The sequence below is a fragment of the Homo sapiens genome, chromosome 4 (assembly GCF_000001405.40).
Source record: "Homo sapiens chromosome 4, GRCh38.p14 Primary Assembly".
Lineage (NCBI taxonomy): Eukaryota > Metazoa > Chordata > Mammalia > Primates > Hominidae > Homo > Homo sapiens.
In genome coordinates, this window is record NC_000004.12 from 140,607,623 (window position 1) to 140,629,344 (window position 21,722).

Consider the following 21,722-nt stretch of genomic DNA (forward strand, 5'->3'; position numbering starts at 1 on the left):
GGTGGGGGCAGCATAGTCAGAGTGGCTGGACAAGGCAGAGCCCACTAAAGCCTGAGGCCCAAGGCAGGACACCAACTGCCCACGTCTGAGGACAGTACTAAACCCAAATTGCTCTGCCTAGTGGCATTTCAGGCAGTATTATAAATAGATATTGAAAAATACAGGCAGAGTGAAGAACAGGTAACTCAGGGTAGTCTGCCCACAGGCTTAGCTTCACTAAGCCATTTTACTAATTTTCTTCCTTTCCTCTTCTTGGGAATCAGAGAGCTCACAGAAATCTCCAGGCTTGTTTTTTTTGACTCACAAGACTTTCAAATTGGCAGCTGCAGTTAGTGAGGAGGGAGGGAAAAAGATAGAGATGGGAGTCCATTTAGGAAGGACAGAGATGTGTGTGGGGAGGGAACATTTATTCCCAGGAGAGGGCTCCAGTGATCTGTGCTCCGCTTTGCTGACTCTTTTGCTACTCTTCCCTTTCTACCCCATCCCCAGGCTCTCAAATTACAGACTTTAAACTGGGCATAGTATGTCTTCCCATTTCCAAACTGTCCGTCTGTAGATGGGGAAGGAAAACCGTAGAAAATATCCATGGAAGTGTAGACAAGTGACTGTGTTACCTGCTGACGCCTGGTTCAGGTAGCTTGGCCCTGTTGCTCCTCTCAATACCTTGGGGTCAGTCAGAGCTAAAGGTGACAGTCAGAAATAGAATGTGTAGGCTGGGCACGGTGGCTTACGCCTGTAATCTCAGCAATTTGGGAGGCCAAGGCAGGTGGATCACTTGAGGTCAGGAGTTCAAGACCAGCCTGGCTAACATGGTGAAACCCCATCTCTGCTAAAAAATGTGGTGGGGGACACCTGTAAACTCAGATACTCGGAAACTGAGGCAGAAGAATTGCCTGAACCCGGGAGGCAGAGGTCGCAGTGAGCCAAAATCATGACACTACACTCCAGCCTGGGCAACAAGAGTGGAACTCCGTCTAAAAAAAAAAAAAAAAAAGATATGGAATGCGTAGCTGGGTGCTGTGGCTCACACCTATAATCCAAGCTACCTGGGAGACTGAGAGTTCAAGACCATCCTGAACAACATAGCACGACCCCATCTCTTAAAAAAAAGGAAAAGAAAAGAAACAGAATGTGAAAATCTCTAAGGGGGCTGGCCTCCTTTACTCTGGATGTTCTTGAAATTCAGCCTAGCTCTTTTACTTAGTGAGCTCTTTATGTCTTTCTCCCACATGTGTACAGTTCTCTCTCTCTCTCTCTCTTCCTCTTTGTCTCACCAAATCTAGGAAAGAAAATTATCCTACTTTGTGTGCTGGTGGTGTTGTCTGTGAGCTTCTTAGTGGAATACTGGAAGGCCCACCCTGCTTCCATCTTTCTGACAAGGTCCAGGCTGTATTGTTTTAAAAGTAATGCCCTTGGCTGGGTGCGGTGGCTCATGCCTGTAATCCCAGCACTCTGGGAGGCCGAGGCGGGCGGATCACGAGGTCAGGAGACCAAGACCATCATGGCTAACACGGTGAAACCCAGTCTCTACTAAAAATAATAATAATAAAAACAATTAGCCAGGCATGGTGGCACGCACCTATAGTCTCAGCTACTCTGGAGGCTGAGGCAGGAGAACTAATTGAACCCGGGAGGTGGAGATTGCAGTGAGCTGAGATCATGTCACTGCACTCCAGCCTGGCAGCAGAGCAAGGCTCTGTCTCAAAAAAAAAAAAGAAAAGAAAAGAAGAAAAAAAAGTAACACCCTTGAATCCTTAAACAATTGTCTCATTTAATTTGGATCATTTTGACCTTTAAGTTTCTTTATTCAGATCTTTAATATTTTTAAGGGAGCTGTTAAAAGAGGAATTGAGTTTGCCTCCTTTGCAGAGAAAATTAAAAGTGTACCATGACACTGAGTGCCCTTGGAGAGGGGGAGATCTTTGGAAGTTTGAAGGGTGATCCTAGAAGGTGCTTTTGTACGTGATTGTAGAGGGGGCAGAGAAAAAAAAAATGGCCTCCACCCATTGTGTTTCTCCATGAGCTTTGTGAGTGAGGCCACTGGGGAGTCACCTGTTCCCACAGGCTGGCGCTCTGATGGAAGAGTGCCAGTTAGGCAGGCCATGGAGGAGGGCTCTGTGACCCATGAGACACTGGCACTGCAGGAATATGACGTTGGCAGTGTTTTAGGAGGGGATTTTGCCAGCTTAAGGCCATGAACCCAAGAGGAAATTAGATTTTAAGCAGAAATAAAATCCTGTGGAAATATTTAATGTTAGGTGATGTTTGCATCATGAAGGACATCATCTCTCTTCCATTGAATCTTTTCCTCTTTTTGTCCGTGGCTTCCTGTGTCTGTAATAGAATAATCCATTGTCTCTGCTGAGTGCTGTCTGGAGCAGAAGCTTTTGTCAAGCTCTTCTTGATAATATCATTTCAGTTACACTTGAATTCAAAGCTCTTCTCTCTTTTTTTTTTCCTAAGTGTCTCTAGCATTAAGGGAGGAATGGATCCTTTTAGTTTTGACCACAGAAATAAAACTTCAATCAGAACATGTTGAACGCTGGCTTCAAATTTAGTCACCAGGAATGGTCTTTAGCCCAACATTACCCCCTAGTGGGATAAAATAGAATAGATATTAATGAGGTTATGTGGGATGCATTTGAATGGGTGTAACTAGATGCTCTGGCTTGGGCCTGCTCTGTGACAGATACAAGTGGCTGTTAAGGCCCCATGGAAAAATGCATCTCCCCAGCTCTTTGGAAAGCCACTGGCCTTCAGTGAGCGTGGAGCAATTCCTTCTGCTTAATAACCCCCTCTTTCTCTTTCATTTTATTCTCTCGTTGTTGTCATAGTGAATGGCATTTAAGAACTGGAGAAACAAAGCACAGAAGTCATGTGTAAAAAGTGTAACAGATTTGATTTCATAAAACATGCACACTGTCATATAATGCAAGACACCAAAAGTTAGAAGGCAAATTCAAAAGAACCTAAAGGAGCAATAAACATTGTTTAAAGTAGCCCATAAATGTGTAAAATATTATGTATCGATTTAAAAAATTCAACTGCTTCACTGTGAAAGGAATTTGAATTAAAATGAAATATCATCTTTTATCCATCAGATTAGCAAAAATAGAAAGAGTGTTAATTTCAAATGTTGCTGAAGGTATGTAAGAAGGGAGCACTAGCTGTTGATGGGAATGTAAACAAGTGAAGGACTTTTGAAGGCAATTTGACAGGATCTGTCATGACTTTAAATGGACATATGCTTTGATCCAGCAAGTTTACCTTTTCAATCCTATCCCCAAAAGATATTCTTATATATGTCACAGATCTCTTTACAGTAATATTCCTTGCCACAATGTTTATGATAAGAAAAGCCTACATATAAGTAAAAGTCCATCAACTGAGACAGAGGGTGGGGCAGCATAGGTGTAACTAAATAAATTACGGAACATTTCCTTTTCATGGAATACTGTGCTGACATTAACATAAATGAGACAGAACTCCATATACACCTATGGAAAAAATCTCCATGACCCTCAGGTGAAACATGAAATCACGGAATAAGTTTTAGTTTGATTCAATTTTTGTGTGTATGTTTTAAAATCGTGTATGTGGCCAGATGTGGTGGCTCATGCCTGTAATCCCAGCACTTTGGGAGGCCGAGGCGGGTGGATCACAAGGTCAGGAGATCGAGACCATCCTGGCTAACACGGTGAAACCCTGTCTCTACTAAAAAATATAAAAAATTAGCCAGGCGTGGTGGCGGGCGCCTGTAGTCTCAGCTACTCGGGAGGCTGAGGTGAGAATGGCATGAACCTGGGAGGCAAAGATTGCAGTGAGCCAAGATCGCGCCACTGCACTCCAGCCTGGGCGACAGAGTGAGACTCTGTCTCAAAAAAAAAAAAAAAAAAACACCACACACACACACACACACACACACACACACACACACACACACACACACAAAACACAAAAAACGCGTATGTGTATGTAGACACATATAGAAATTTCTAGAACAAATGAAATTCAATCTATTAATAATACTTACCTCCAAGGAGAGAAGTAGGAGTACAGAAGTTAATAAAGGAAGACTTTCTTTCTGCCTCACTTCTTATTGGTCAATCTGGGAATTCATTTTGCTGTGTCTGTGTATTACTCGTATGGAAAAAAGTAAGCAAAAATAAACACTATTATGTGATATTCATACAGATGAACGATATTTCAAAGGAAACTTCTCTACTATAAGACAAAGAGAGTTTAAATTTAGCATAGCGGCAAGGCTAAGCCCAGTGACAAGTCCTTCATCAATTGTCTTTTTTTTTATTTCCAAGAAATCTCAACACATGGGTAAACATTGTGCTGGAGAAATGAATGGCTCTGTAATTTCCCAGATAGTCAGAATCTTTTTCTGGCCTCGTGGCTTCATCATTGCCTGACTCAGCATGTGTACTCAGGGCCCCTAGAGTGAGCCATGGTGAACCAGGTGGTGAGAGTTGCAGGGAGTGACGGTGTAGGCTGAGGATTCCAACTACTGTGTCTCTTCACAGCAAACACCTGGACATGGGCAAGCCACCCAAGAGACAGTTTTGCTCTAAAATGGTATTTTTTGCCCCTTCCCATTTGGAGCAAAGATACAATTCCAAAGAAGATTCTGAAATATTCATGTTAACCCATGTATACTATTAAAGCTATTTCATCTTACTCATTTTCAAAAAAGTTTATAATTTCATAGGTTGCTTAAGTCTTTTAGAAAATCAATATACCCAGGTTAACTCCATAGCAGCAGCTATTTACAAATTCTCTTGTTTATGAGACAAGCTGTTGAAACAACCCAGTGCCCTATCTCAAAATATTTTGCGTTTTTATCTTTTCATAGACTCTTCCAAATATCTTCTCAGTTTACATGAGCATTTAAGAAGGATCTGGCAAGTTCAAGTATTACTTCCTTATTTACTTCCTCATTATTAAGTACAGTTCTTTATTTCTCACAGTGAGAAGAGATATTGTGTTGCATTACACTGAAAATACTGCACAATTCAATACAAATTATAGAGTTATATTATCCAAATTCTGCTGCTAGGGTTTCATTTTTGTCCTTTGAAATTTCATACTGATCACTTCTTGGTTTATACCAAACTTTCTTTCACTTTTGAAACTTCAAAAGTAAATACTCTTCCCCATTTCCTACTCTTAGGTCTAAATTTGCAGCAGGAATTGAAGGAGGGATTGAAATATTGCACCTGGCTCATAGAATTTGACAGCATGACAAAGGATGCTGTAAAATATGAACCAAAAGGGGAAAATGAATATACTCTAATACCTTGGATATTTTTGGTCCTTTACCTGTTAGGATACCAACCAATGTTGAGAAATAGTATATACATAGGTAGTGACTGATCATAAACTTTCATATATGCTTGTCTATTATCCTGTAGGAAGGTGGGATGGTGAGAGGCTTAAAACAGAGGAAAACATGATTACATTAAAGTTTTCAAAAGATCACATAAGCGATAGTTTAAAAGAATAACTGAGGAGTGTGAGAGGGAGGACTAGGGGCAAAAAATAAAATGGCAACAATCCAGCAACCTTTGTTGCAATCCAAAAAGTTTGTTTCAAACACTTGCTACAAACATTCATGTACACATAGGAAAGTGTGACATGATGAATTTACAGACTTGCGCATTTCTATCTTGCTTGCCAACAATTAGAAGAGTAATTATATCACACACAGATTGACAAATAGCCAAAGGGCCATTTTAAAATGCTGCCTTTCAGTCTATCATTGATGCAGTGTTAGGTTGATTCCATGTCTTTGCTATTGTGAATAGGCTGGATGAAGAAAATATGATACATATACATCATGGAATACTATGCAGCCATACAAAGAATGAGATCATGTCTTTGCAGGGACATGGATGGAGCTTGAGCCCATCATCCTTAGCAAACTCACACAGGACCAGAAAACCAAGTACTGCATGTTCTCACTTATAAGTGGGAGCTAAATGATGAGAACACATGGACACATAGAAGGGAGCAACACACACTAGGGCCTATTGGAGGGTGGAGTTGAGGAGGAAGGAGAGGATCAGGAAAAATAACTAATGGATACCAGGCTTAATACCTGGGTGATGAAATAACCTGTACAACACACCTCCATGACACATGTTTACCTATGTAACAAACCTGCACGTGTACCACTGAACTTAAAATAAAAGTTAAAAAAAAAAAGAAAAAATGAATGACTGCCTTCCAGTTACTGAAAGCAGACCCAATTAAGGAAACTATTACAGTTGCCAAGGTCAGGGACTATAAATGCATATGTAAGCTTCCATCAGAGCACCAACCTCTGAGTTCTCCCTTTGGGTCACACTTTGAGGCAGTTGGATCATCACATATTGGGCAAAGGTGTCAAGAAGAAGCAAGAAGCTGAGAGCCTGCTCAATCCACAACAAGCCAAGAAATGTTTTGTTTTGTTTTAAGTAAAAAGCAATCAATTTCCTTTTGTTATATGAAGGTAATAGGATTGATACTTTTGCTTAAGGATAACCTATACAAATACAGTCTGGACTGAAGAGATAGATCAAATATTAATATATAAACCTAATAAAACCCTTCTGAACCTATTGCCAGATACAAAGCTGGACTGTCAGTATAATTGAGAATAGACCGAGGAGCAGAGATTGAATGGTGTTTATAAAAAATAACGGGGCTGGGTGCAGTGGCTCACGCCTGTAATCCCAGCACTTTGGGAGGCTGAGGCAGGTGGATCACAAGGTCAGAAGATCGAGACCATCCTGGCTAACATGGTGAAACCCCGTCTCTACTAAAAATACAAAAAACTAGCTGGGTGTGGTGGCGGGTGCCTGTAGTCCCAGCTACTCGGGAGGCTGAGGCAGGAGAATGGTGTGAACCCAGGAGGCAGAGTTCACAGTGAGCCGAGATCGTGCCACTGCACTCCAGCCTGGGTGACAGAGCAAGACTCCATCTAAAAAAAAAAATAAAAAATAAAAAATAAAAAAAATAATGGATAGGGGCTGGGCACAGTGGCTCATGCCTGTAAGCCCAGCACTTTGGGAGGCTGAGGTGGACAGATCACCTGAGGTCACGAGTTTGAGACTAGCCTGGTCAACATGGCAAAACCCTGTCCCTACTAAAAATACAAGACTTAGCCAGGTGTGGTGGTGTGCACCTGTAGTCCCAGCTACTCGGGAGGCTGAGGCAGGAGAATCACTTGAATCCTGGAGATGGAGGCTGTAGTCAGCTGAGCTCATGCCACTGCACTCCAGCCTGGGTGACAGAGTGAGAATCCGTCTCAAAAAAAAAAAAAAAAATGGGGTCATAAACAACTTGGAGGAATCAAGAATGACATACATTTCTGGCTTCAGTTACTACATGGATATTGCTGTTATTAATTAAATAGGGAATAATAAAGGGAAACTTTATGGGGAGAGAAGAGTCCAGTTTTTGAAGTGCATATAAGTTCAGGAAGTGAGAGCATTGTTGTGCCTCTTTTGTTCATTGTCACTGCTGTTATTAGCACATGACACAAAGCCTGGAACACCCAAGGCACTCAATACATATGGACTAAATGAAACAGTTCCAGAGAGAAGCCTGAGCTGACTTAGTATTTGGGAGTCAGTAGTAGACAGATAGGGGTTGAAGTTATTGAAGTGGGTGCACTCTTTCAGGGCAAGCAATGAGAAAGGAGCACCTTGGGAAGATCTTTGTGGTGACCATCATGTAAGAGGTGGGCAAAGGAAAGCAGCCCAGGAAAGTTCATGGTGAATTTATTAGAGAAACAAAGGGGAATTGCAAAGATATTGGTGTCACGGACACCTTGAAAAGGAGGAGATAATTTTAATGAGGGAGTGTCAAAAGATCTAAATACCACAGAAAGAGAAAGTAAGTTAAGAATCAGGATCTATTGGAGCTAGCAATTAGGAAACTGTTTTTGCCCTCAGCAAGAGCAGTTTCAGTGCAAAGGTAAATCCATGCCGAAGTGCACTGAAGTTAGACTGGAAGTGAAGAAACAGAGGTAGTAAGATAAGGCCACTCTTTCATGTTTGGTTGTGATGCAGTTAGATAAGTCAATAACTAGTATGTTACAAAGTTAAGGGATTGAGTAAATAGTCTTACAACCTGAGGCTATTGTGAAGAAGATGTTGAAGATAAAAGAGGTTAAAGAGTGCTGAATTTTCCTCCAACATGGAGGAAGGAGAAAAGTAGATTGCAGGTGCAGACACATTTGCACTTGAGGGGCTCAGAGTTGAGAGCTGCAACTGATAGCTCCAATTATTTCTGTTAACTGAGAATCAAATTTTCATCTAAGAGGAAGCAGGTGTGGGATTAGGGGGTTCGATGAGACTAGTAAAGAATTAAAATAGCTATTTGGGGGACTAGGAAGATTGGATCAGGGACATGGAACAATCATGGATTGCTAATTGGCATTCAGGACCTATCTGAAGATAAAAATCATAAAATTGGAGTAGTACAAATCTATATCATGTAAATTTTTTCACCTCTAGCAGTGTCTGCTACACAGCAGCCCAGATGCGAATGAAGAAGGCAGATGCTTATAACAATTCCTGATTTGGGGTTTACAGAGTAACCACCGCAGAGGACAGATGGCAGATGCAGAGGATCCAGGCAGATTGAGTTGAGAGAGCTGAAAAGATAGTGGTGAAAGAGATGACCACAGGATCATATCTCAATAGGAAAATCAGTGCGAGACCTCATGGATTAATAGAGGAGTTGAAGGACTAGAAGTACTGTAGGCAACTGTCCTGGGAATGACAGAGGTGAAAAGGTATGAGTTCATATTTCTAAGACACAGAAGGGGATGGAAAATCACAGGAATCCAGGAAATCAAGGTTAAAGTGTTTTCTGGGTTCTTGGTTTAGATGTAGAAGTTCCCTGAATGGTAGCAAAAACTGGGGCAGAAAAGAAATTTATGAGCCAGATGCTAAAATATTTAGTGAATATCCAAGAAGGCCCAGGAAAACCCAGAAGAATGGTCGATGTGGCAGAATAGAGGACAGCAATTATTTGACATGTCTTTCATTGAGAAGCAGGATCCATCTCCCTTTCTGAGTCTGACCTGGCCTGTGCCTGCTTTGACCATTAGGATACGATGGATGTGCCTCTCTGCTCCTTCTAGGCCTCAGAATTGAGGGTAGGTGAAAAAGTCATCACCGACTCCTACTTGGGTTCCTGTGGTAACCTCCTAAGTGGTCTGCCTGCTTCTATCCTTGCGCTTCTACTTACTGTCATGATAGTGGCCAGAATTATTTTTAAAGCCTTGATTGGGTCATGTCTCTCCTCTGCTCAGAACCCTTCAGTGGTTGCCGTCTCCCTCAGAGTGAAGGGCCATCTTGTCATTGGTTCCTTATTACCTCTCTGCATTCGTTGACTACCACCTCCCCTCACTCATTCTGCTCCATCCACAGCTTCCTTGATGTCCCTCAAACTTACCAGGCGCACTCCCATTATCGGGCCTTTGCACTTGCAGTTTCTTCTGTCTGCAAAGCTCTTCCTCCAGTCATCTCATCTGCATGGCTTGCTCCCTTGGCTTTTACTAAACAGTCATCTTCTGTGAAAGGTCTTCGCGAAACACCCCATCTAAAATTTCACCACCTTCCCAAGCCCAGCATTTCTAACCTAGGTTCCCCGCTGTGTTTGTTTTAATGCATATGCCACTAACATAACAGATATGGTACTTACCTTGCTTATAGTCTGTCTGCCGTATTAAAATAGAATTTCCCTTAAGGACAGGGATTGTTTTTGGTCATTGTCATTTGCTGCTGTACTCTCAGTGCCTAAAACAATATCTCACACAGTAGGTGGTCAATAGTCATGAAATGAATGAATTCACCAGACCTATTCTAGGGCTCAAAAGATTATTTCCAGGCCAGTCCTAGGATGTGGCATGAATCTAGCTGATACTGTTTCCTTCAGGTATTCTAAGAGCTACAGGATTTAGCTTTGTGGACTTCTTCTGGCTTCTCTGTGAAGGGTGAGGGGAGGAAGTAGTATGAATCCAGGAAGCCCTGATAATCTACAGCTTGGCCCTCTGCCGTCTGCCTCTAGCTGCTGTGTAGACCGGTCTGCCTGGCAGCCGATCGTATTAACAAAGCCCACAGAAAGAGAATCCTAGTCTTAGCCTACTCTACTCACTTGTGTCTAACGATAAATTCCTTTGTCTGAGTCCCGTGCTTTCCTTTTAAAGAATTAGACTGTCAAAAGCATGTTAAACAAAAGGCACAGGGGCCTAAACATTATGTAAAGGAGTCATTTTAAAGCAGAAAATAGTATGAAATGCTTTCTACTCAACACATCAATTGTTATTCTTTTCAGGTTAGAAGTTGAATCTGTAACAAAAGAGCCTTTTCACAGGATGGGTAATGACAAATACACAACCAGAGGAGCCCTTAACTGGAAGTGGAAATAAGGCAGCTGCCAACACCTCCACTTCAGTTTCCCTGCTAGGTTCAAGAAGCAGAATCTCTTTAAGTTCAGGCTCCTAGACAACGCTTCAGCTGGAGACCAGACCAAGGCTACTCTACTGAGATTGGGAGGTTCCTATAGAGTCTCTGGGGCCAGGAAAGTGAGGAGGAGAAACCTCACCACCCTTCCTAAAGAGGTTTGCCCTGAAGAGAGCAGGCTGCGGGAGTTGCCCTGTGCCCAGAAGCCAGGGTGCTCGGCCTGCGTCACCTTGGTGGGGGTGAGGATGCTGTTGGGACATGAGCCTCCTTATTGGCCGTGGCTCTCTTTGTGGTTCTACCACATAGCTTATCCTGCTTCTCCCTAGAATCAGCTTCAAAGTGGTGCTTAAGCAGTGATATCCTGATATCCTTAGATCTGTGGTTTCTCTGGCATCATCCCTTCCCCGCATCCACACTCTGCATGGTTTGCTTTGTTCCTTTTCTGTAGCAGTAGCTTTCTCTTTTGCTTGTTCTTATGTGAAAGCTCCACTGAGGCCAGGACCCAGTGCTGTGGAGCAGGAACCTCACCGAGATATAGACACTGAGCCCTTCCTCTGCACTGGTGTCATCATTATTATATTAGCATAGGAAGGACTGACAGAGATGGGGGTAAAGTGGCCAGAGAAGATGATAATGGCTGGGCATGGTGGCTCATGTCTGTAATCCCAGCACTTTGAGAGGCCGAGGCGGGTGGATCACTTAAGGTCCGGAGTTCGAGTGCAGCCCGGCCAACATGGTGAAACCCCATCTCTACTAAAAATACAAAATTAGCTGGGCATGGTGGCGGGCACCTGTAATCCCAGCTACTCAGAGGCTGAGGCAGGAGAATTGCTTGAACCCGGAGGCAGAAGTTGCAGTGAGCAGAGACTGTGCCATCACACTCCAGCCTGGGTGACAAAAGCAAAACTCTGTCTCAAAAGCAAAAACAAATAACAAAACAAAACAAAACAAAAACCCCTACAAAACAAACACCCCCCAAAAAACAGAGAAGATGGTAAATCACAAGTTGAAATCAAAGAGAGTAATCCATGGAGACACGAAAAGTGCATAACACAACCATGAACAACTAGAAATGTGTCACCTGTCTTCTGGAAGCTGAGGGCGGAATAATTCCCCCAGGATGTTCTTCTGATGTAGCGAATGAGAGGACGAGCCTATTTGTCTCGTAGACGAAGCTGGAAATTTCAGCTCAAGGGTTCAGGCTCCTCCCTGTGCATCCTTTAGAAGTAAACACAGACTAAAACCTGCCATTATGCAGTATATTGCTGCTGTGATGAAAAGCACTATGATGTGCTTGAACGAATAAGGACAAGATTGCAACAGAATTCTCAGCATATTAATAGAGACAGGCTTTCAGAGGGACTTGCTACTCATTTACTGTCACTTTCTTAATGACAATGGAAAATGCTGGCTCCTCTTCTATATCCAGGGCTACACATTTAAACAAAACACTCTTATTTCCCGCTCAATGCTATCTCTGATTTTGGCAAAGTACAGGTGGGTGAGAGTATTAGATTTTGCAGTTATTTCTTGAGGCATATTTAAGACATCAAAGATAAAAACACATGGAGTCACGTGTAATAATCTTAGAGTCCAATAAATGACTAGCTACTTGATTAAACCAAATGGCATTATAGCATGTTAATAAGGATTAAACAGACGCATTTTCACCGTCATTACTTAGATGGAATGAGTATTTTTTTTTGTTAACTTTTATTTTAGGTTCAGGGGTACATATGAAGGTTTGTTATATAGGTAAACTAGTGTCATGGGGGTTTGTTGTACAGATTATTTTGTCACCCAGGTACGAAGCCTATTAACCAATAGTTATTTCTTTCTGTTCCTCTCCCTCCACCCACCCTCCACCCTCAAGGAGGCCCCAGTGTGTGTTGTTCCCTTCTCTGGGTCCATGTGCTCTCATCGCTTAGCTCCCACTTACAAGTGAGAACATGCAGCATTTGGTTTTCTGCTCCTGCATTAGTTTGCTAAGGATAATGGCCTCCAGCTCCATCCATGTTCCCATAAAATACATGATCTTGTTTTTTATAGCTGCATAGTATTCCGTGGTGTATATGTACCACATTTTCTTTATTCAATTTGCCATTATGGGCATTTAGATTGATTCCATGTCTTTGCTATTGTGAACACTGCTGTAATGAACATTCACATGCATGTGTCTTTATAGCAGAATGATTTATATTCCTCTGGGTATATTCCCAGTAATGGCATTGCTGGGTTGAATAGTAGTTGTTTTTAGCTCTTTCAGAAATTGCCACATTGCTTTTTACAATGGTTGAACTAAGGTACACTCCCACCAACGGTATATTTGTGTTGTTTACTTTACAACCTCGTCAACATCTGTTCTTTTTTGACTTTTTAATGACTGGTGTGAGATGGTATCTCATTGTGGTTTTGAAGACAGACATGCAACCAACAAGCATATTTTAAAAAGCTGAATATCACTGATCATTATGGATAAGCATTTTAAGTTAGATAACTGATAACAATTATATTCCTTATTTTAAATATAGTCATTGATATACTACAAATTGTATTTCTCTCTCTATGTTTGCCTATAAAATTTATTTACTTAATCAAAATGGTTGCCTGATATAATTTCCCCTGCAAAAGTTGTCAAAAGAATAATGTTATTGCCTTAGGCAGGAACTCAAGCACAAAGATAAAAAGCTGTATCTGAGTATTTGCTGTATTTTATTTGTTCACATTTAGCCTATTTGAGGTTAACACTACTTCATTTGACAGTTTAAAAATCATCCTGTAAATAGAATAAAAAACAACAGCAGCAATAGCTAAAAAAAGGACACAATGTATAATAAAATAAAGGAATGTGTTGAAAGAAATATTCCAAAGAAGCAAAGGAAATGAGACCATGATTATGAATTCAACAATCAGAAGAAAAAATCGTCCAACATCTGTAAAAAGCAAAATCATAACAGTAATAAAAAAGAAGCAAGAATTCAAAGTGCAGGTGCGCTAGCTTTCATTTCCACATCCATTCAGGAAATAGAGCATACTATTCTTTTATATAAAGTGACAAGTTCTGTTTTTAAAACATTCAGTTACATTATCTTGCAGATTTTTTTTCAGTTTACATTATCTCTACATTGATTTGATGGAAAGATGGTCATATGCGATATGTGGTATAAATTTCTTCAATCTATGGAGAATACGGAAATGGTAAAGTTGACTGTTTTACTTATGTTTTTGCAGTAAGAAGCTAAACATCCAGTATCAGAAGCATCAGTACTTTTACTCTTTCAAAAACAAAAGCAAAGCAAAAGCAAAAACCTGTCATGAGCCCTCTGTCTTTGCTGCTACTTTCAGATTCTCTGTGACAAAAGACTGTTACTTTTCACTGAATTCTAATGAGTTGACGTAAATAATCAGAACAATTTCTTAAATGCAAAATTGGTCTGGTATCTGTCTAAATTGGTCAATACAAGTGTTATTCTGGAATCATGTAAAAATCACTTACTTTCATAACTGTTTAGAACCCCAAATGTTTTCCCTTTGAAGGGGAACATCTGTGGAATATGATTTTGAATAGAGGACTTCTATGAAATATATTTCAAATCTTAAAAATATTTTTAATACTTCCTAAAGTGGTATAGGATTTACCCTCGCTGACTATGCCTTCCATTTAAGAACAGTCTTGCATTTGTGGCTTTTCATTTTCCTTACAGCTCTAATTTTATTTAAAAAGCCTGAATACACAAATGACTGCTGCCTTACTTAGCATTAAACAGTACTATTTTTTAAACCATGTATACAGCTCAACAGCAAGATTAATAAGTTATAATACACACATATCACTGACAGATTCATCTTTTTGTTTTTTAGAATTCACGAAATAAACTGTATTCTGGTAAATCCCCTCCCCGCAACAAGAGTGTAATGTACCTACATTGAGGTGTTTAAATATTTCTCCAACAGTTTTCATTGAATTACATTATGAAAACACTAGGCTTCAAGCCAGGTACTAATAAATATTTAATTTAAAAGAAAGAAAGAAAAAACTCAACACAGAAGAACATAAAAAATCCCTCCCCTCCCTCTCCTCCCACTCCCCCGGGAAGGCGCCCGTGTCAGCCGGACATGGCCGAGATTTCATAGTCACTGGCCGAGGTGAGGGGCTTGCCCATCATCCGGATGTTTTTTGCACTGGTAATCCTGGCCATCATGCACACGGGCTTGTCAAAGTACTTGACCAGGGCAGGCTCAGTTAAGAGGGAGGCCAGGAACTGCTCGAAGGTGATGGCCCAGTCCCGGTCCAGGCTGGTGCTCCGGGGCAGTGCCGCCGTGCCCTGGCCGCTCCGCACCAGGACCGTGTCCTCTCCGATGTCCTCGCAGTGCAGCTTGTCCTCCTCGTGGGAGCCGGCACTCAGCACCGAGTATGAGGACATGGAGCTGTCGTCCTTGGTGTCGTCGTCAGAGATCAGCATGGAGGAGCAGGCCCCGTTGTCCCGGGGCGAGGAGTCCTCCAGCTTGATGTCCTCCATTTGTCCTCCAAGGGAGTGTTCCTCGCTGTCGGGGGCCAGGCTGGCCGGCAGGGGCTCAACAGACTCCACCACGTAAGGCTGGCCTGGCCCTTTCTTGGGGAAGAGCACGCCTGGGATGCCCTGGTGGCAGGACGGCCCACTGCCTCCGCTCCCGCCCTCCTTTGCAGGCTGGGCCACGAACAACTTGCCGACCTCCCCAATCTCCAGCAGGAGGCTGGTCACTGCTGCCGTGGCGTGGTACAGCTCCTGCTCATTGGGGTCTTCGCTGAACATGTTATACATTGTCTTACACAGTTCAATGAACTGCCCCTGAAAAGCGATTTGGAAAAACACAATGTGAAATCTTGGGGGAGCAGAAAGGCAGCACTGAAGTGGACTGTAAAGCCATTTAAATGAGAACGCCTAAAGATCCCTGGAAAGTCCTCCGCCTAGGCTGGATGGACATGTTTAAAGTCTCCTATTGATGTTTCTATTTTTAATTTTTATTTCTTTTTGAGACAGGGTCTCTCTTTGTCGCCCAGGCTGGAGTGCAGTGGTGCAATCACGGTTCACTGCAGCCTCAACATCCTGGGCTCACATGAACCTCCCACCTCAGCCCCCCAGGCACACACCACTATACTCTGCTAATCTTTGCGTTTTTTGTAGAGATGGGGTTTCGCCATTTTACCCAGGCTGGTCTTGTACTCCTGGGCTAAGTGATCCTCCTGCCTTGGCCTCCCAAAGTGCTGGAATTACAGGTGTGAGCCACCACACCCAGCTTATTTTCCCAATTTTTTAATTTGAAAATTTTCCAACATCTATGAAAGTTGGAATGAAAAAGTAAACATCCATGTACAGCTCACCTCGAGTCAAGAAGGACTATGTCATACATTTGGCTCAGTAACTTTTTTCTTGTTCTCTTTTCCCTTTTTGAAACATCTTAAGGAAATCCGAGACTCATCTATTTTCACGTCTACACACTTTAGCATGCACCTCAATTTTTCCAAGGTTAGCTCCAATCCCTCCTCCCACGACACATGCCCCATCTCCCTGGACAGAAGTAATGCTTTAGTGCTTTCAGTCTCCACCCAGATGACTTCTGTTCTTCAATTACAAAACTTAGCATTTTCAGCCTATAATTATTTATATTGTTTTTTTCTTCCTCATTTCACCAGGTTTTTAAGGAAAATGTGCAGACACCTTTATAGCTAAGCACGGTGATCTGAAAACAGCAATGTGTTTGTCTTTCGAGTATCTGAGGGTATTTTTAATGATTGCAATAAGATGCATTTACTCTCAAAATGGAATATGTTGTGGTTCACATTTCCTCTGAGGAAGTCGTTTTTTCACAATGGAGCATATTTTTGATGCATAAATACATGCACAAAATAGGTCCAAATGGATACTAAGTAAAGGCCCCAGTTATTATTTTTGATGGGTATTGAGTCTACATTTATCGATGACTTTTCAGTCATAGAAAAAAGAGTGTCCAGGTTTGAAGCGAATGATTTGAACTTTAAGCACTTACCTGATTTAATTTGGGTAAATCCTTTGCATTCTTTGACTTAGATTTATTTTCTGGAGTCCACAGTCTCAAATAATTACGATTTTCTTGGGAATTTGCTCTCTTCCCTACAACCCAAATGTCAAGAAATAAGTGCTTACAGGCCAAAAAACAAGTGTACAACCAGCAAGAAGGTAAACATATAGAAGAGAATATCCTTACCTTTGTCTGGCTTTAGGCTCACCGTAACAAAGCCATCATCTGCACCCTGTTTGCTTCTGCTATCCAATCCAACAACTACCAAGAAATGGTTCAGAAGAAAAAAGTAGAATGTTATATAATATGACCATGGAATTAGCATTTGTAGTGGAAAATAGAAGACTCTCTAAGTAGGGTTGCCTGATTTAGCAAACAAACAAACAAAAAAAAACTCCTCAAAACAAAACAAAACATTCAGTTAAATTTCAATTTCAGATAAACAACAATTTTTGGGGGGGATAAGTATAACCCTGACATTAGAGGGGACATACTTATACTAAGAAAATTATTTTGTATCTGAGATTCAAATTTTACTACATGTCCCATAATTTTATCTGACAACACTATCTCCAGGTAAAGGACCTCCGCAGAATTCTTTCTCACAGCTGGGGTTCAGTGTACAATAAAAAATTAATGGAGGGTCAAGCAGCGTGGCTCATGCCTGTAATCCCAGCACTTTGGAAGGCCAAGGTGGGCAGATCACCTGAGGTCAGGGGTTCAAGACCATCCTGGTCAACATGGTGAAACCCTGTTTCTACTAAAAATAGAAAAATTAGCCGGATGTGGTGGCACATGCCTGTAATCCCAGCTACTCGGGAGACTGAGGCAGGAGAATTGCTTAAACCCAGGAGGCAGAGGTTGCAGTGGGCTGAGATGGTGCCATTGCACTCCAGCCTGGGCAACTAGAGCAAAACTCCATCTCAAAAAAAAAAAAATTAATGGGATAATGCCACATAGCCTTTAGTACTTAAAAAATGGTAGTGCTTGCCCCAATGAATGTTGATTTCTCTCCTGTCTTTTCTACATTATCATTTAACTTTGCATATATGAGACAGATTTTTTTTGCCAGACCCTGCAAAAGATCCAGAACTCACTCTTTCAAGGAAATTAAAATCTATGTTGGCAGAAGAGAGAAAATTTTTTTTTTGCTAAAATGTTACATGCTATAAAACTACTTCAGATTTATAATTTGGTACTTCAAAAATATGACTTTTAAGGAACCCACTTATAACTGTTTTGTCTTCTTAAAACGAGACATTACAGGGCACATAGGGACTTCAAAATAGAGAGGTGTACAATGCCCTCAGTTTCCCATGCAGTTTGTTGGCTGTTAGGGTGCATTCCAGCACTTCTTCAACCACCCAAAGCTGGCTGGTCAGACAGAGATGTGGCCTTTACTGTATTACGTGTCAAATTAATCTCAGTAGCTTTTAAGACACAGTGAGGAAAGTGTACTATGTGTTGTTGGGAAATTCCTCCCCTCTTAATGTTGAAAATGATGTAGGCAACAAGTGGATTTTTAAAAAATATTTAATGTATGGTAAGTCCATGCAATGGATACTATATAGCCATTTAAAAACCACATTTTCAAAGAAATTTTAATGACAAAGTAATATTCTCACTGGATTTCAAGTAAAAAAAGCAGGATACAAAACTGTATAGGTAGTTTGATCCCAGTTCTATATACATATATCTGTGGTGTGTATGTGTACAATTTGAATAAAAAACTGAAATATTTCAAGGTGAATTATTAGTTATCTTTATATGGTAAGATTCTAAGACAGTTTTGGCTTACTTATTTTACCCGTACCTGAAACATTTCCATGCAAAGCAATAGCATCTTTGGCACTGGAAAACCTTCTTCAAAAAGCATATTTCAATGATATTACATGCTATTGGCATGTGACCATTTCTGAAGCATTTCTAAAACAAGAGAATCCCTTTCTGAGATGTATGTCTACTAAGAAATGTGTGGAGAACATTTTGTAGCCAGAATGTGACTGCTAATGGTATTAGGTTGGTGAAAAGTAATTGTGGTTTTTGCCATTACTTCCAATATATAATATTAAGAATATGTAGGATGCACTAAGACACTATGCAAAATGTCTTATTACATTCTCTTATTAGGTCCTAATTACACCCAATATGATAGCTATCATCTCCATTCTCCACACAAGGAAACTGAGGCTCACATAGGAACCTGCCTGCACTCACCTAGACAACACTATACATAGCTAGTGTTCTGTCCAAAGCTCCTACCCTCAACTTGTATTGCCAGTCATAAGACTGAGCCTGGCTCACTCTCTCTACAGAAATCACTTTGGTGCTTACAGTCTAAAAGTAAGGTCTCTTGGTGCAGGTCTCTGTTGTGCTTATTTGGGGATGGCAAAACTTAAGAGGCAAAAGAACCCAGGAGAAACCTACATTTACTTTTGGACTTAGGTGAGTTGATAAAGTTGACCTAATGATGAATTAGAAGGTAACTTACTGCAGTAGCAAGCCAAAAGACAATGCTAGATTAATGTAAGACAAAACAGTATATGAATTAATATATAAATTTGGAGACATATATGAGTTGAATCACATCTTTGTAGACCTATCATCCACAGAGAGCAGGAGCCAGCATATGTCTTTTGTAAAGGACCAGACAATGAATATTTTAACCTTTGTAGGTCATACTGTCTCTGTTTTAGCCACTCAATTCTGCAGCACGAAAACAGCCATAAGCAATACATATATAAATGAGCTTGGCTGTCTTCCAACAAAACTATTTATAGGCACTGAAGTTTCTATTTCATATACTTTTCATGTGGCAAAAATATTTTACTTTTGATTTTTAAAAACCATTTAAAAATGTAAAAAACCATTCTTAGTTCACAGGCTGTAAAAAATAGGTGGTGGGCTGGATTTGGCCCACGGGCTATAGTTTGCCAACTTCTGCTATAGAGCAAACACAGATATAAGAGAATGCTTTCTGACAGAAATGCTAGTTCCAATTCTGGATGGCTGCCTAACAGGATATTATTAATGAGGCTGATCCTGGCAGAAAGAGGGCAGCAAAGTATACAGCTCTATAGGACACAAGTTTCCTAACCTACTGGGAAACAATGTACATGTTTCCTTCAGTGGGCTGAGGTACCTACTGCCCAATAGTTGCCTAATCTCAAAAACTGGAAAGGAAAGTAACCAATTAAGGCAACCATATTTACATACTTCTTTGATTGACTAGCTTTGGAGGCAAGTCTTTTTCCAATAATGGAGGGCTCGGTAGAAAACAAATATAGTATCTTTGGTGAGAAAAGTCACTTACCATGTGTACATTCTGGGGTAATATCTTCAAAGAAGTACTGAGTTGCTTCAAAAGCAGAATCTGGTTCATCTTGATCAGAGGATGGCTCTAGGGAGGGGAGGAAACATAGTTCTCATATTGGTAGGGCCATGATCCAGTGAAAGTATGCTTAATTATTAAATAAAATGACATAAGTGGGGATGAAAAGCTAAAGTTACAAAGGTGGGATGGGGCCTTGAGTGCCTACTGTCTCTAAACCTTAGTGGAGGAGGTCACTAACTCCATCTAACTCCACCTTCCCTTTTAACAACCCCACACCAAAGTGTTCCTTCATATTTTCTGTGTTATGAAGAATTTTCCAAGTTGTATGGAATAATGCTATATTAACAAAATTTTAGGAAACTGTACGCTATAAAGAGAATTCCCAAATCTAGTTTTATCCTACCTCTATTGTTCGTGCCAATCTCATCTCATTTTTAAAAGTATTTGCTAGATAGATCCCAGCTGGTACCAACCTTGTTTAAAATTGAAAAAACCTCACCATTTTCCCCACTTGTTCCTGTCAATGTTCCTACGCTCCTTTTCTCTCTCACAATCCTTGTATCCCAGGTGTTACCAAGTGCTATTTATTCTTTCTTTTGCAGATGCCTGCCTGCTCTTTTCTGTTACCACAACTCACTCTTCACACAGGTAAATGACTATACAATCAAGTGCATGCTGATTCAAGAACTTATGGAAATTGTCATTGTTCAGTTAGTTCTTAGTGACTCATGAATGATGGTGTATATCAAAAAGAGGACGATCAGGTTACACCTAAAACAGAGACTTCAAGCCAGGTCATGGTTACAGACACAAGTACTGCTCCATGTAGCTCACTCACCAGGCAAGACGTGCATTTTGTACAGGAGTTTGAGCTTCTCTGTGAGGTCCCCATGGCATGCAGCACCTAGAAGTCACATAAGTACCAATGTGAAATGCATCACATGTGCTAATAAACTCCAGGCCTAGTGTTCCTCTAAAAAGTCTACTTCATACACATTCCAACCAAGACATTGTGTGGTGAAAGGCCTGGCCAGGACCTGTTTGGGTTAACAGCTCAGGAACCAGGATGGTTGGTTTCAAATCCTCTGCATGTACTACATACTGTTGGGAGAGTTAAACCCTCTGTACCTCGGTTTCCCCTCTGTAAGGTGAGATGATAATAGAAGATTCTACCAGTGATCTTGATGTCAGGACTCCACGAAATGTCAGAACTAAAAGTGTTAAAACATATAAAGCACCTAGAATAGTGCCTGGCACCTAATAAAATAGCTTTATTAATGAGAAAGGTCATGTGATTGGGGCACAACATCTTAAATAACTATTAGAGTTCAGAAATAATTTCAAGATGTGTTTTGATATCACTTCAAATTACTCATTCTAGAAATCCTTTTTAATTGTTTTTGAGCTCCTAAGTATTTCCTTAATTTATCTGAACCTATTGGTCATTATATCACCATAGCTTCAATCGGAAGAATCCTGTTGCTTTTCCCCTCAAAGTCCATATTTATTGCTAGAACCAGAAAATCCTTTGTAAATATATATTCTGAGAGCACCTAAAGATAAATGAGATTTGGAAAAAGAAGAAAAATAGGAATCATAGAATCTGGGTTGGAAGGGACCTTACGGGTTATCTTGTCTGACCTTCCACTTAATGTAGGATCTCCTCTCACACACCCCAGTGAGACAGGACTCCAGCATCTGCTGAAACATTCTCAAAGATGGGGAACTCAATACAACCAGAGGCATTTCATTCCAAGCTGTATTCTTTAAATACTGAAAGTTCTTCTGTAATTTTTAGTCTAATGACCCTTAAAACCTGTAGTCTCAACTTTATGAAGTCCGTGAACCCCTCAAAATGCAAAATTTTATTTATGTTCATATGT

The 21,722-nt window shown here is 40.9% G+C and overlaps 1 protein-coding gene across 1 annotated transcript in view, besides 1 other annotated feature; it reads right to left on the reverse strand.

Moving 5' to 3' along the window:
• Nucleotides 10,585-11,188: an enhancer, noted in NCBI's record as "H3K4me1 hESC enhancer chr4:141539361-141539964 (GRCh37/hg19 assembly coordinates)". NCBI's record gives its function as "activates a minimal SCP1, AML or CMV promoter by ChIP-STARR-seq in primed H9 embryonic stem cells {active_cell/tissue: H9 hESC(primed)}" and the evidence as "EXISTENCE:reporter gene assay evidence [ECO:0000049][PMID:30033119]".
• The window catches only part of TBC1D9 (TBC1 domain family member 9), a 135,604-nt gene continuing 127,041 nt past the window's right edge, over nt 13,160-21,722 (reverse strand). The window contains exons 17-21 of the mRNA NM_015130.3: nt 20,678-20,743; nt 19,819-19,905; nt 16,692-16,766; nt 16,494-16,597; nt 13,160-15,295 (exon numbers count right to left, since the gene is read on the reverse strand). Coding sequence (NP_055945.2) covers nt 14,573-15,295; nt 16,494-16,597; nt 16,692-16,766; nt 19,819-19,905; nt 20,678-20,743 — 1,055 coding nt within the window. The 3' untranslated portion in view covers nt 13,160-14,572. The remainder of the gene's footprint in view (nt 15,296-16,493; nt 16,598-16,691; nt 16,767-19,818; nt 19,906-20,677; nt 20,744-21,722) is intronic.